At 41.3% G+C, this 16924-nt stretch overlaps 1 protein-coding gene across 3 annotated transcripts in view; it reads right to left on the bottom strand.

The window, feature by feature from the left end:
- SLC5A1 (solute carrier family 5 member 1) overlaps positions 1 to 16924 on the bottom strand; it is a 69769-nt gene that overhangs the window by 13267 nt on the left and 39578 nt on the right. For 2 of the 3 annotated variants that reach the window (NM_000343.4, NM_001256314.2), the window contains 6 exons: positions 16609 to 16689; positions 15104 to 15324; positions 14728 to 14863; positions 13436 to 13543; positions 8001 to 8151; positions 412 to 580 (listed from right to left, as the gene is read on the bottom strand). In NM_000343.4, the coding sequence (NP_000334.1) occupies positions 412 to 580; positions 8001 to 8151; positions 13436 to 13543; positions 14728 to 14863; positions 15104 to 15324; positions 16609 to 16689 (866 nt within the window). The remainder of the gene's footprint in view (positions 1 to 411; positions 581 to 8000; positions 8152 to 13435; positions 13544 to 14727; positions 14864 to 15103; positions 15325 to 16608; positions 16690 to 16924) is intronic. The other variant, XM_011530331.2, reaches the window with a different exon arrangement.

The following is a 16924-nucleotide window of genomic DNA, read 5'->3' as shown; positions in this document are numbered from 1 at the left end:
GGAGTGCCATGCAGTCAGGTCAAAATCACCAAGATTAGATAGAAAATCTAATCTTGGCTTGTAATCCTAGTACTTTGGGAGGCTGAGGTGGGAGGATCACTTGAGCTCAGGAGTTCAAGACCAGCCTGGGCAACATAGTGAGTCCTCACCTCTATTAAAAAAAATTTTTAAGAAAATCTAATCTTGGACAGAGGAGACAGAACGTGGACCCTCCCATACCAACTCCCGAGGAGCTCACTCCAACAGAGAGCCCCATGGTCCCTGGAGGCTTTCCCTACAAACCCTCAGCAGCACATCCGTGTCTGCTCAAGATCTCTGGGAAATAGAATCCCTCCCACAGAGAATATGCAAACCCACATGGAAACTTCTATGCCAGAATGACTTTTCTGGACATGCCCAGATGATACCTACTGGCTCATTGACTCTCTTCCAGAAAATAGCAAGCAGGAAGACAGCCGCAATGGGTGGTCCCAAGTAACTGGTGATGGACTGGATGTAATCGAAGAGTTGCCCACTTTGTGCTGACTGCACAATGGGCACCCAGGCGATGCTGATGCCAATCAGCACCAGGATAAACAACCTGAAATTAAAGCCCCCACAACAAGGTGTCAATAAATAGCTCTACATGAGTATATATATATATATATATATATATATTTTTTTTTTTTTTTTTTTTTTGAGACAGAGTCTTGCTCTGTCACCCAGGCTGGAGTGCAGCGGTGCATCTCCGCTCACTGCAAGCTCTGCCACCCGGATTCACACCATTCTCCTGCCTCAGCCTCCTGAGTAGCTGGGACTACAGGCGCCCGCCACCACGCCCGGCTAATTTTTTGTATTTTTTTAGTAGAGACGGTTTCACCATGTTAGCCAGGATGGTCTCCATCTCCTGACCTCGTGATCCGCCCGCCTCGGCCTCCCAAAGTGCTGGGATTACAGGCGTGAGCCACCGCACCCGGCCTCTACATGAGTATATATTGCTATGTATTATACATATGCATACATACATATACACACTACCACCACCACCACTACCAGCAGCAAATATAACCACAGCAAGAAAAAATAATTTAAAAATGTATGCTTGAAGCTTTTTTTGCCTATAGGAAAGTCATTCATGCCTATGAATTAGTGAAACACACTTGACTTTCAATAGTAGCCTAGGCCCACTCACCACCATAAGAGAATCTCATTTTGAGAGGCAATAGAGTATGGGAACAAGGTATGAATTTTAGAGCCTGATAGTCCTGGATTCAAATTCTTATTATTTCTGTGTGACATAGGAGACATTTCTTAACCTCTCTGAGTCTCAAGTTCTTCATCTGTAAACTGGGAATAGGACTGACCTTGCAAGGTGGGAATAAGAATTAGTGATAGTAGTAGTGATACAAACACACACATGCACTGAGAGAATATTCTGTGGGAGTCACATGACATACACACCAGTGACCTCAATACAAGACCATATATGATCATGTGTACAATACAAACTAAGATCTACAGCAGTATACTTGAGCAAGAATATTCATGTGTTTTTACAAACATATTTTTTCATTCTTTTGTGTAAATATCAAGGAGTGATACTGCTGGATTATAGGGTAGATGGACATCCAACTTTATGAGAAACTGCCTGACTGATTTTCAAATTGCCTCTACTGTTTTGCATTGCTAGCAGCTATGTATAAGAATTCTGTTTGACCCACACCCTCACCAACATTTGATATCAATCTTTTGAATTTTAGTCACTCTAGTGTGTATGGTTTTGATCTCCATTTCCCTGATGCCTAGTGATGGCATTGAATACTTTTTTAATGTGCTTTGTTAGTCTTTTGGCTGTTTCTTAATTTGGTTGTTTTATTATTGAGCTGCTTACATATTCTGGATATAAATCCTTTGTTAGATATATGTTTAACAAATATTTTCTCCCTTTTCACTTGATTAATGGTGTCTTTGATAAACAAGTTTTAAATTCCGATAAAAAAAGAATTAGTGATAGTAAAACTAATCTAAGTGATAGTTAACTAAGTGAGAGTAAAACCTTGCAAATAGCAGGCACTTAATAAATAGTAAAAACTATTATTATTGTTTTCTTCTTCTCCTCCTTCTTCCCTTTTGTCTTCTTCTTCATAATAATGGAGTTATTAATAAAAACACTACACAAGATGATTTTATAAAGGAATGGTCTAGATAGGAAGAAACACTACCAGGTATTTCTACCTCTCCTCCTGCTGAGTTTCACTTCAAGTCCTGAAAAGACTGGAGATGTCCTTGCAAGCTCTTCTTATTTGTGCTCTTGATTGAATTAGAAAGATGACTGTGATTCCTTTTCTCACTTACTTGCAACTTAAATTGACCTCCACAAAGCAATGTTTTCACTCACACATTTCTCCCTCTGAAATGCCTTTCCACTGTCCCCCTTTTCCATATCCCACCCACCATTATGGACTTAGCTCAGGTTCTCCCTTCCCCAGGAGCCTTTCCCAGCCACTCATGCCACACTCATCACTCCCTTATCTGAGCTCCTGGTTGATCTTACAGTCCCCACAGCAGAGTTTGGAATGGTTTCACATCACTGTGAGCTCATCCAGGACTGGGACAAGCCCCAGGGCAGTAATTACAGGATACACAAAAATGTGAGCCCCAACATAGTCTCAGGGCCATGGGATTCATCCCTAACGAGGCAACAAAACATTTTCTGTAGCATTTTGCATTTGATCCACCTAAATAACTGGAAAAGTCAGTAAGTGCCTTTCTAAGGGAAAATCAATCAAGGTAACAGTGCTACTTTCTATGGTTCAGAGTAAAGATCCTCTGGCACAGTCAGATCTCCTTTGGGTGCCAGGTATCTTGTCAATTGAAAGTGGCCTACCATGTTTGCTTTGCTTCGTTCATTCCAATCTTGAAAATGAGACCTATGAGGTAGCAGCCTATACCCCTCCTGCACTCACTGGGAAACTTTCCCTTGACTGACATCCCAGGGACTTGGCCCACCTGCCCTAAGGAGGTTGACCTGCATTAGCCCCATAGAAAAACAAGCAAGGCTCCTGTTGATCCTCTGTCCAGAGCATCTGCTCCATGGATAATCATGATAATGAGCACACCTGACCCAGGTGTTGATACTTTAATGCTTTCAGGACCCTATTGCATTTATTAGCCCATTTGACAACAAGAAATGTGCACAGTGCTTGGTGTTTTAGACTGACTTTACAGAGTATATTCACAAGCACAACTGAACCTTCACAATCGTTCTGCAGAATGTTGCATCAAGGGGTCAAGTCATCAGAGGCACATGGGCCTCAAAGATGGCCAGTGTGGAGAGCTGCAGTGTGAGGGGCTGAGGAGGACAGTGTGGGGCAGTATAAGGAGCCTTGGACAAGGGCTCAGTTGGCTGCAGATTCCAGTCCTGTCTCTGCCACTGTCCAGACTGTTTGGATTTAGGCAGGATGAGCCTCAACCCAAATGACAGCCTGAGGGGTAAATTAGGTGTTTCTTATGTCCCTTCTAACTCCAGAGGGGCATTGTTCAATGATCTCCAATTTAAAGTTAAACGCCACTGTAGGATCTAGAAAAAAATGGCAGACAGGAGGCAGGACTAAATTGTAGCTCCCACTCAGATGGACAGAGCATCATGCAGAGACTAGCATCATGAACTTTTGCTCCAAGAACTACTGCAGGAATATACCAGGAAAGCCAAGAGGATCCACAGACCCTCTGAAGGTAGCAGATTGCTCCTGCAGGACCCAGGAGACAGCCCAAATACTGTGAGAGCCCAAACTGTGAATGTGGGAAAGGGGGATCATCCGCCCCCAAACACAGACCCTCACTGGGGAACCTGAAGGTCTAGATCACGGGAGAAGTATTTCAACAAATAGCGTGATGAATGGAATAGTACCTCACATCTCAATACTAACGTTGAATATAAATGGCCTAAATGCTCCACTTAAAAGATACGGAATTGCAGAATGGATAAGAATTTATCAATCAAGTATCTGCTGCCTTCAAGAAACTCACCTAACACATAAGGACTCACATAAATTTAAGGTAAAAGGGTGGAAAAAGACATCCCATGCAAGTGGATACCAAAAGTGAGCACAAGTAGCTCTTCTTATATTCTTTAACGTTTCAAAAGAAACTTTAAAGCAACAGCAGTTAAAAAAGACAAAGAGGAACATTATATAATGATAAAAGGCCTTGTCCAAGGGGAAAATGTCACAATCCTAAATATATATCCACCTAACACTGGACCTCCCAAATGTATAAAACAATTACTACTAGGCCTAAGAAATAAGATAGAAAGCAACACAATAATACTGGAGGACTTCAATACTCCACTGACAGCACTAGACAGGTCATCAAGACAGAAAGTCAACAAAGGAACAATGGATTTAAGCTATACCCTGGAACAAATGGACTTAACAGATATTTACAGAACATTGTACCCATTGACCACAGAATATACATTGTATTCATCAGTGCATGGAACATTCTCCAAGGTAGACTATATGATAGGCCACAAAACAAGTCTAAATAAATTTAAGAAAATTGAAATCATATCAAGTACTCTCTCAGACCACAGTGGAATAAAACTGGAAATCAACTTCAAAGGGAACCTTCAAAACCATGCAAATACATGGAAATTAAATAACCTGCTCCTGAATGATCATTGGGTCAACAATGAAATCAAGATGGAAATTTTAAAATTTTTTGAACTGAAAGATAATAGTGACACAACCTATCAAAACCTCTGGGATACAGCAAAGGTGGTGTTAAGAGGAAAGTTCATAGCCCTAAATGCCTACATCAAAAAGTCTGAAAGAGCACAATAGACAATCTAAGGTCACACCTCAAGGAACTAGAGGAACAAGAACAAACCAAACCCAAGCCCAGCAGAAGAAAGGAAATAACCAAGATCAGGGCAGAACTAAAAGAAAGTGAAACCAAAAAAAAAATACAAAAGATAAATGAAACAAAAAGTTGGTTCTTTGAAAAGATAAATAAAATTGATAGACCATTAGCAAGATTAACCAAGAAAAGATGAGAGAAAATCCAAATAAGCACAATTAGAAATGAAACAGAAGATATTACAACTGACACCACAGAAATACAAAAGATAATTCAAGGCTACTATGAACACCTTTATGTGCATAAACCAGAAAACCTAGAGGAGATGGATAAATTCCTGGAGAGATACAACCCTCCTAGCTTAAATCAGGAAGAATTAGATACCCTGAACAGACCATTAGCAAGCAGCGAAGTTGAAATGGTAATTTAAAAATTACCAACCAAAAAAAGTCCAGAACCAGACGGATTCACAGCTGAATTCTACCAGACATTCAAAGAAGAATTGGTACCGATCCTATTGACACTATTCCACAAGATAGAGAAAGAAGGAATCCTCCCTAAATCATTCTATGAAGCCAGTATCACCCTAATACCAAAACCAGGAAAGGACATAACAAAAAAAGACAACTACAGACCAATATCTCTAATGAACATAGATGCAAAAATCCTTAACAAAATACTAGCTAACTGAATCTCAAAACATATCAAAAAGATAATCCACCATGATCAAGTGGGTTTCGTACCAGGGATGCAGGGATGGTTTAACATATGCAAGTCAATAAGTGTGACACATCACATAAACAGAATTAAAAACAAAAATCACATGATCATCTCAACAGACATAGAAAAAGCATTTGAAAAAATCCAGCATCCATTTATGATTAAAATACTCAGCAAAATTGGCATAAAAGCATACCTTAATGTAATAAAAGCCATCTATGACAGACCCACAGCCAATATAATACCAAAAGGGGAAAAGTTGAAAGCATTCCCTCTGAGAATTGGAACAAGACAAGGATGCCCACTCTCACCCACTTGTATTCAACATAGTACTGGAAGTCCTAGCCAGAGCAATCAGACAAAAGAAAGAAATGAATGGCATCCAAATCAGTAAAGGGGAAGTCAAACTGTCACTGGTTGCTGATGATACAATCATATACTTAGAAAACCCTAAAGACTCCTCCAAAATGCTTGTAGAACTGATAAATGAATTTGGCAAAGTTTCAGGACCCAAAATTAATGTACACAAATCAGTAGCTCTGCTACATCAACAGTGACCAAGCTGAGAATCAAATCAAGAACTCAACTCCTTGTACAATAGCTGCAAAAAAAAAAGAAAGAGAGAGAAGAGAAAAGAAAAGAAAAGAAAGGAAAAAAGACTTAGGAATATACCTAACCAAGGACGTGAAAGACCTCTACAAGGAAAACTACAAAACACTGCTGAAAGAAATCACAGATGACACAAACAAATGGAAACACATCCCATGCTCATGGATGGGTAGAATCAATATTGTGAAAATGACCATACTGCCAAAAGCAATCTACAAATTCAATGCAATTCACATCAAAATACCACCATCATTCTTCACAGAACTAGGAAAAACAATACTCACATTCATATGGAACCAAAAAAAGAGCCCACATAGCCAAAGCAAGACTAAGCAAAAAGAACAAATCTGGAGGCATCACATTACCTGACTTCAAACTATACTATAAGGCCAGAGCCACCAAAACAGCATGGTACTGATATAAAAATAGGCACAGAGACTAATGAAACAGAATGAGAGAACCCAGAAATAAACCCAAATACTTAGAGCCAACTAATCTTTGACAAACCAAACAAAAATATAAAGTGGGGAAAGGACACCCTATTCAACAAATAGTGCTGGGATAATTGGCAAGCCACATGCAGGAGAATAAAACTGGATACTCATCTCTCACCTTATACAAAAATCAACTTGAGATAATTCAAGGACTTAAATCTAAGACCTGAAACTATAAAAATTCTAGAAGATAGCATCAGAAAAACCCTCCTAGGCATTGGCTTAGGCAAAGAGTTCACGACCAAGAACCCAAAGGCAAATGCAACAAAAACAAAGATAAATAGGTGGGACTTAACTAAAGAGCTTCTGCACAGCAAAAGGAACAGTTAGCAGAGTAAACGGGCAACCCACACAGTGGCAGAAAATCTTCACAATCTATACTTCCAACAAAGGACTAATATCCAGAATCTACAAAAAATTTCAAACAAATTAACAAGGAAAAAATAATCACCTTACTCCAAGAATGACTGTAATTTAGAAATAAAAAAAATAGATATTGGTGTGGATGTGGTGAAAAGAACACTTTTACACTGTTGGTGGGAATGTAAACTAATACAACCACTATGGAAAACAGTATGGACATTCCTTAAAGAACTAAAAGTAGAACTACCATTTGATCCAGCAATCCCACTACTGGGTATCTACCCAGAGGAAAAGAAGTCGTTATACAAAAAAGATGTTTGCACACGCAGGTTTATAGCAGCACAATTCATAATTGCAAAAATATGGAACCAGACCAAATGCCCATCAATCAACAAGTGGATAAAGAAATTATGGTGTATATATACATATGATGGAATCCTACTCAGCCATAAAAAGGAACGAATTAATGGCATTCGCAGCAACTGGATGAAACTGGAGACTATTATTCTAAGTGAAGCAATTCAGGAATGGAAAACCAAACATCATATGTTCTCACTTATAAGTGGGAGCTAAGCTATGAGGTTGCAAAGGCATAAGAATGATACAGTGGATTTTGGGGACTCACGGGAAACGGGTGGGAGGGGGGCGAGGGATAAAAGATTACAAATTGGGTTCAGTGTATAATGCTCAAGTGATGGGTGTACCAAAATCTCACAAATCACCACTAAAGAGCTTACTCATGTAACCAAATACGACCTGTTTCCCAAACATGAATGGAAATAAAAAATTTAAAAATAATAAAATAAAATAATAAGTAAATAAAGTTAAATGCCACCAAATGGCACATATAACCAGCCACAGAAATTATTCCCATTCTACCCAGGCATCTGCCAACCTTCCCTAGCTTGAGGGGTAACACAGATGGAACCTCTCTGATCATTCAAGCTTTTGTGGCTTGGGGGAAGCTGCATTTACCTTCCGGCAATCATGAGCTCTTTCTCAGATGCTCTCTTGCGGACCTTGGCGTAGATGTCCATGGTGAAGAGGGTGCTGGCGCTGTTGAAGATGGAGGTCAGGGAGCTCATGAGGGAGGCCAGCATGACTGATAGCATCAGGCCTCGCAGTCCTGGAAGAGAAGGATTTTTGAGTGGCACATAACAGCACCTTCAGCTCTTTTGTACTTGAAAAATATATGAGGACTCAAGATTTGTTTGCCTTCTGAAACCATGCCATGTTATCCAATTTCTGTCTCCAAAAAGACTAGAAGCTTTAAGAAGTAGTCCTATGGCTTTAAATTTATTAGCCCATTATAAGCCCACAGCAGCCACAAAGAGCCAGAGACACAACATACTTGAGGTGAATACTTTGCAACTGGACGATGATGAAGGTGGTGGGGTGTGTGTGTGTGTGTGTGTGTGTGTGTGTGTGTGTGTGTGTGTTTGTGTATGTGTGTTTCCATCTGAGGGGATTTTTATAAGGTCTCTCACCTGAAATATTTATGATATAACAGAAAGAGATTTAAACTATTATTCAAAAGATGGGGCTCTCAAGAAAGTAAGCCATCCACAGACTGGGAGAAAATACGTGCAAATCATGTATCTGATAAGGGTCTAATATAAGAACATATAAAGAACTCCTAAAATTCAATAATAAAATGACAACCCAATTTAAAATGCCAAAGGATCTGAATAGACACTTCTCCAAAGCCATACAAATAGCCAATAATGACATGAAAAGATGCTTGACATCAGGGGAATTCAAATCAAAGCCATAGTGGGATAATAACTTTGTACCCACTAGGATAGCTATGATAATAAATTTTTAAAAAACAGAAATAACAAGTGTGAGTGGAGATATGGAGAAATGAGGACCTTCATATATTGCTGGCAGGAATGTAAAATGGTACAGCCACTGCAGAAAATAGTCTGGGTCAGTCAGTTTTTCAGATGGTTAAACATTCAGCTACCATATTACCCATCAATTCCATTCCTAGGTGGAATTTCATTTCTCTCTACCCAAGAGAAATGAAATTCCATTCCTAGGTGGAATTTCATTTCTCTCTACCCAAGAGAAATGAAAACATATGTCCACTCAAAAACTCATACATTAATGTTTGTAATATTATTACTTGTAATACCCAAAAAGGAGGAGCAATACAAATGTCCACCAAATGATAAGTGGATAAACAAAATGCATAAGCAATTGACAAATGGGTAAACATGTGATGGAATATTATTCATCAATAAAAAGGAATGACATACAAATACATGCTAGGACACATATGAACCTTGCAAACATTATGTTAAGTAAAAGAAGCAAGTCACAAAAAAACACGTATTATATGATTCTATTTATATGAAATATCCAGAATAGGCAAATCTAGGAATACAGAAAGTATGTTAGTGGTTGCCAGGGACTGGGAGGTTGGGGTGAAATAGGGAGAGACTGCTCATTTCATTAGCAGGTATAGGATTTCTTTATGGCATGACACAAATTTTCTAAAATTTATTTCAGTGATGCTTGCACAACTCTGTGAATATACTTAAAAAACCACTGAATTGTACATTTTAAATGAGGGAATTGTAGGATAGGTGAATTTAAGCTCAATTAAGTTTTTTTGTTTTTTTTTTTTTTTTTGAAAGACAAGGCTGTATTTCTAACTCTGATCCTAAGCAAGTTACGTCAAGCTCTAGGCCTCATTTCTTGATGTGTTAAACAGGGATACCTTCCCAAATCAGTATACGGAATACTACACCTTCCCAAATAGGAATACGGAACTCTTGTTATTAAAGTTTTCTCAATTATGGCAAGCCTGGTTGGCTATAATCTCTATTATTCTTCCCATACCAAGGAGTGTACAGGGGGACACCTGCTGAGGCTAGAAGGCCAGGCCAAGCTGAGGACCCACTAACAAGAGTTTTACAGTTTCAGGAGTAAAAGTAACCTTAGGATCACCTAGACCTATCATCCATCTGATACATGAATCCCTTCCACAACATTCCTCTGCCCATCTCTATAGCAACAGGAAATCTCCTACCCTACAGGGAACCTGCCCTCAGACAGTTCTGAGTAGGCTGAAATCTACCTCTCTATAGCATCAAATGTAGTCCTCATGGTACCCAACAGAACAGGTCTTACTCCTTATCCATTTTGCCATCTTTCATATATTCAAAGATAACTCATGTTCCCTTGAACTCTCTCTTCTCTATATTCCTATCTAACTGCATTTAGGAGACCCAAATGTTTAGAACTTTACTTATACCTCTATTAAACTTCAGCTGGTTAGATCTGAGTCAGCATTCATGCCTCTTGAGATCTTTTTGGAACACAATTCTGTCTTTCCTCTAGGTTTTATATCTTTAAATAATTTATGGTCTCACCTACAGCCTTGCAAGATGAATTCTAAAGGCTGCCTATTCTAATTATTTTGTCATTTGTTGCGAGGTTTTTTTAATGGCTCTTTCTGAGTTTGTGTGGTATAGATCACAAACTATCAGAGATATAGAAGTTATAAAGATCATCAAGTCCAATTATCTCATTTTTCAGTTGATAAAGGTCCATTTCAAGGAGTTAGTAGGAAGGGCTTTCAGCCCTAGCTCTGCCATTCGTTCAGGATTACTTTGCCTTGAAATTGGTAAGCTGGGATAGAACTTTCCCCACTGTATGACACTCTTATCAGACCCCATTCATTTAATTACTCAACAAATATTTGCTGAACACAATTTTACAGTGCATAATTTTACAGTGGTCTAGGCAAAAAATAATGGTCTATCAGACTAGGGTAACAAAAGTAAAAATAGAGAGACATACATTAGGAGACAAAATAGACACAAGTTGGTGTGGATTGGTGGGAGGATCACCTACTTGCTGAGTGGAGGAGGCTGAATCTGCAAATGGAATGAAAAGGAGCAGCCAGAGAGGATGGGGAAAATTTAAAAAGACAAACAGGAGAATACAGTATGATGGAATCCAAGAGAAGAGAACAACTCAAGAAGGATGAGTGATCGATAATGCTGAATGCCACTGAGGGATCCAGTAAGGTGAGGAATGGAAAATATCTATTTAGTCTAGCACAGGGAGGTCATTAAGGAATACAGTAGGCTGGGCATGGTGACTCACACCTGTAATCCCAGCACTTTGGGAGGCTGAGGCGAGTGGATCACCTGAGGTCAGGAGTTTGAGACCAGCGTGGCCAATGTGGTGAAACCCCGTCTGTACTAAAAATACAAAAAAATTAGCTGGGCGTGGTGGCAGGTGCCTGTAATCCCAGCTACTACAGAGGCTAAGGCAGGAGAATTGCTTGAACTGGGGAGGTGGAGGTTGCAGTGAGCTGAGATCACGCCATTGCACTCCAGCATGGGTGATAAGAGCAAGACTCCATCTCAAAAAAAAAAAAAAAAAGGAATGCAGTATTTACTGAAGCCAGATTACAGCCAAGAGGAGGGACTAGCAATGGCACAGGGAAGCACGGCATTTTATTCTGCATGCCACACATCTTTCTGTTGTGCACAGTCCACTCCCGCATAATGTTTAGTCCTCACTAGGAGGGTCTGCCCACCTAAAGGAATAACATAAACACTCCACAGAGGCCAATGCAATCCATGCCAGAACTTTTCTAGAAGAGTCACTGTGACTCCTGCTAATTGTAACCTTATGAATAAGCAGCCCAGCTCAGTAGGCTAGTTAAGTATTATTCCCATTTTTATATAATTTGAATGCAAATGGTTTGCCCAAAGTCATGCATGAAGTTTGTAGTTTTTTAATTTTTTAAAAGACTCTCCCGAATTCCTCAATTCCAGCCTTGAGCAGCGTTAAGCATGCCAAATGCCAGACACCACGTTCCTGCCTGGCCCTGGAAAACTCACCTCCCCTCTATTGGCTTCCGTTTCCCCAACTGTAAAATGAAAGAATTTGACTAGTCTCTAAGTTTCTTTTCAGTAATACAATTTTATAGGTTTATTCTAAATTTTTCTAGGTAATAACTTTGAAGTTTTGTTCTCCTGAAACCCCCTAACCTAACCCCCTAGCCAGATTTGTATCCCTTGAGCCAGAATTAGGAGATTTTTCTGAAACATGACTGTAATCCCACAGGTCAACTACAAAACTCTAGCTATTCAGGAGTCACAGCTAAGTACTCAGTCTCCTAGGAAAACAGATTCTTTATGGTGACAAGCCGCCTTGAATGCCATCCATCTCCTGCCTCAGACTTTCTCATTCTAGAGCTGAAATCTTGCCTCTTTCCCCATGTGTTTCCTTGGAAGAGCATAAAAGTCAATTCATTCTCCAGGTAAAACCCCTTGGACCTAGTTCAAGCCTTCATTTTAACATCTGTTGGAGAGCTTTTTAAAAATATTTTTTAATTGGCAAGTAAAAGTTATGTATATTGAGGGTATATAATATGATGTCTTGAAATATCTATACATTAGCTCAATTGAGCTAATTAGCAAATATATGCATTACCTTAAATACTTAACATTTTTTGTGGTGAGAACAGTTAAAATCTACTCTTGGCAATTTTCAAGTATACAATACGTTGCTATTAACTATAGTCACTATGTTGTACAATAGATCTCTTGAACTTATTCCTCTTAACTGAAATTTTGTATCCATTGACCAACATCTTCCCAGATCCCCACCCCAACCCCTAGTAACCACCATTCTACTCTCTGCTTCTACAAATTTGACTTTTTAAGGCTCTACATGTAAGTGACAATATGTGGTATTTGTTTGAGTCTAAAGTATTTCACTAAACATAATGTTCTCCAGGTTCATTTATGTTGTCATAAATGACATAATTTCCTTCTTTTTGAGGGTGAATAGTATCCCATTGTGTATATACTGTATATTACATTTTCTTTATCCATTCATCCATTCATTCATTGATAGGCATTTATATTGATTCCACATCTTGACTACTGTGAACAATGCTACAGTGAACATGGGAGAGCAGATATCTCTTCAAAACACTGATTTCATTTCCTTTGGCTATATGCCCAGTCATGGGATTACTAGATCATATGGTAGTTCTATTTTTAATTTTTTGAGGGACCACCATCCAGTTTTCCATAATGGGTGTGCTAATTTACATCCACTGTTGGAGAGCTTTGAAAGACCTTCTGTATGAGTATGGAAAGTCATGTTTTTCTCTAACAAGTTTTCAGATCATCTCCTTTCCAAGCCTGACTGATGGGCAAGTCCCAGAACTCATAGAACCCAACCAAGTCATATGTCTCCTTCCCACTGAGAGAGGACATGTCCAAAAACTGAGGACACCCACAATGATGCTTTCCCTTCTAACCCCCCGGCTAAGAAATGTCTTTGCCCAGAAGGTTCACAGGAATGTAGGTGGTGCCTAAACCCAATCAGCCTCCCAAGAAAGACTCTACCAACCTCCCAAGAAAGAATCTCACCATTGGGCATGAGCTCCACCACTAAGGTTGGATAGGCGATGTTGGTACAGCCAACCTTGGTACCGCAATATTTCTCACATTCTGAAGGGACGACACAGGCAATTTTTTCTGGGAAGAGATGGAGAGCCACGTCAGCAAGCAGACATTGGGGAAATATTTCCAAAATTCACCTTCTTTTTTTTTTTTTGAGACGGAGTCTCACTCTGTAGCCCAGGCTGGAGTGCAGTGGCACGATCTCGGCTCACTGCAAGCTCTGCCTCCCGGGTTCACGCCATTCTCCTGCCTCAGCCTCCCAAGTAGCTGGGACTACAGGCGCCCACCACCATGCCTGGCTAATTTTTTGTATTTTTAGTAGAGATAGGGTTTCACTGTGTTAGCCAGGATGGTCTCGATCTCCTGACCTCGTGATCCACCCGCCTCAGCCTCCCAAAGTGCTGGGATTACAGGCGTGAGCCACCGTGCCCGGCCAAAATTCACCTTCTTAAAACAAGGTTTCAAACAGGATATTCCTTTCCAAGGCTCTGAAATGGTTCCTCAGGAGTGCAGCTCTCCACAGAACCCTTTGGTGCCTGCCCCGCCCTGCTGGCCCTGACACACTGATGAGCTCTGACTAAGGAAGAAAGACAATTTCTAGGCAACGGAGGAAAGAAATCAAAGAAACATTCAGGGTGGAAGGATGACAGCAAGAGATTAAGCAACAATTGAGCAAATATTATTAGGGAGAAGTGACCTGGAGGCATGTCATAACTTTAGAAGATTTGAAAAAAAAAAAAAAAAAAAAGGAGGAAACAATTGTCGACATAAGAAACCAGGGAAGACAACTCCAAAAGTTCCCTCAAGTTGCTCACTGTCTAGCACAGGAGCAATAATGCTTGGATATGACCATAACAAATAAAGAAGAGGGCCAGGCGTGGTGGCTTATGCCTATAATCCCAGCACTTTGGAAGGCCAAGGCAGGAGGATCACTTGAGGCCAGGAGTTCAAGACCAGCCTGAGCAACATAGCAAAATCCCATCGCTACAAAAAAAAAAATTAAAAATTAGGCAGGCATGGTGGTACATACCTGTAGTCCCAGCTGCTCAGGAGGCTGAAGCAGGAAGGTCACTAGGGCCCAGGAGTTAGAGTTGGAGACTGCAGTGAGCAATGATCACACCACTGCACTCCAGCCTGGGTGACAGAGTGAGACCTGGTCTCAAAAAAAAAGAGGAGGAAGCGGGAAGCTATAGAGCTTTAGAAGTGACTTGGAGACAGAAAAAGGGAGAGTGGTTTGTGGGTCCAGCAGAAGTTATTACCTGTGTACAGAATGCGGCTGATCATTCCTGGCATCACCATGATGAACATGGGCATCAGCTTTAGATACCCACACAGGATGCAGCCACCCTTCACGTGAGACATATTCTTGGCTGAGAGGCAGCGCTGCACAATGACCTGCCAGAAAAAGCCCAGTAAGGGAGGTGTGCAGACCAGAGACCCTGTGACACCTTTGTACTTCCTAGCTTCGCCATCTTGGGTCATTGGCCTGGCACTGCTGTATCACTGGGGCGTGGCAACTTACAAACCACCTGAGCTCTCCCCTCCCTGTCCCAACCCTGCAAACCACAGACAGACAGGAGTTCCTGTAGGGCCCTGGAGAAGACTCTGTCCATCCCGCACATCCAGCTTGGGTACCTGATCTGTGCACCAGTACCACAAGGTAAGGATGGACATCCCAAAGATGAACCCAGGCCATGGGAGGTCTCCCGTGAGGGGATCTCGGAAGATGTGGAAGGAGTCGGCCCTTGGAGTGTAGCATTTTTCCTGAAAGGTGGTGTTGCCATCAGACACTATGGTTGGAATGGCTTTCATGTACTTTTCCATGAAGGCGTCATAGCCTCCCACTTCGTGAAAAGCTGGAAAACATCGGTACAGAAATGAACATTCTGAAACCTTCAACTCGTCATAGCAGCTTCTTTCCATAGATGCCTGAGAAACTGAGAGGACCCAACCCACAGACAGAGCCCTCACTGAGTGGCCTTGGGCAAATCACCTTCCCATTCTGGGCCTCAGCTTTGTCATCCATAGAATGAGATTAGTAGCCCTGCCCAGCCCCCTTGGGGGCTATTATGGGGACCAAAGCAATCACTTGTAAAAGTACTCCAACTGTAAACCTCTTTGTAAAAGGGAAGGGACTTTTATTAATCAAAGAAAGACCTTGGTTTGGGACCACATACAAAGACTCTGTTTTTTCCCTCACCCTCTGCTGTCAGCCATGGCCTTTGGAGCCTTGGACTCAGGCCTAGAGACACACAGACCTAGACACACACAGTGGCCTTTGGGACCTCAGACCCACACCTACCACTCCTGGACCCAGCATGTGGTGGGATGGACAGGGAATGGGTGAGGAATCCAGAACCTGCCACCTCTCAATTGTGTGTCCTTGAATAAGTCATTCCACTGCCTGCCTAGCTAACACCCAAGGCCTGCTGGGGAGAACCAAATGAAAGTCCTTAGAAAACAGAAGAGTGGAGAGCAAATACAAGTTTTTGCAGGATACACAGTGGGCCTTGAGCACCTAGAAATAAAATGTACTTTCTATCCTCCCATAATAAGTACCCTTACCTAGGTTCTCCAGTCTCATCTTTAAGATTTCATAGACAAGTAAAATTGCAAAAAAAAAAAAAATTAATTGGAGGGCCAACCCTGAGGAGCCAAGTTTTTAATTTTGCCAAATAGGGGCATTAAAAGGAACATTATCACCCACTATCAACAATTCATAAAAGAAAGGATATTTGACATCAAAATGTAGATAAGATATAGCCTAAGATGGAAGACGCAACATTTGACTAGATTTAGCTTGATGGATATTTAGCCTTATCCTTTTTTGTCCAGTTTCTCTGCAAACAGAACACCATGTTATCACAGGCTCACAGCACAACCACTAGCCCAGACTGGTGAGAGAGGGCAGCAGAAAATCCAGGACCAGCCCCAGCTTCAGTCTTCCAGGGATAAGGAAGCTGACCCTGCATACCCACAATGACAGCCCATCTGGGCTGGACCCTCCGTTTGGAAGGGCAGAGCATGCCTCAGCTCACTGCCTAGTCTGGCAAGCAGGTAGAGAGGCTGGACTTGCCTTCCTCTTCCTGAGGCCCTCTACCTCTGCTCCCACCTCCTCAGCCTGCCCTGGCCCCACTTACCAAACCCAGTCAGGATTAAAGACCCCACCAGCATGATCACCGTCTGCAAGGTGTCCGTGTAAATCACCGCCGCCAGGCCCCCTAAGCAGGCAAGAAGACAACACATCTGACCTCGTGTGGAGGGTGACCTGTCTACTTGCTTCCTTCCCCACTCTCCACCCTCTACTTCTGCTGGCCTTCTGAGAACATCCCCACAGTGGTTTGCCTGCCTCTCCTTCCTTCCCTCCCTTGTCCTGTTACAGTATTTTGCTATTCAGCATGTTCCCACAGCTCCACCTGTCATAGAAGTGGCGAATGTTTCTCCCTACTTGAGGGG

The sequence above is a fragment of the Homo sapiens genome, chromosome 22, assembly GCF_000001405.40.
Source record: "Homo sapiens chromosome 22, GRCh38.p14 Primary Assembly".
NCBI lineage: Eukaryota > Metazoa > Chordata > Mammalia > Primates > Hominidae > Homo > Homo sapiens.
The sequence above is the reverse complement of the archived record's forward strand: the minus strand, read 5'-3'. Positions and strand labels throughout refer to the sequence as shown.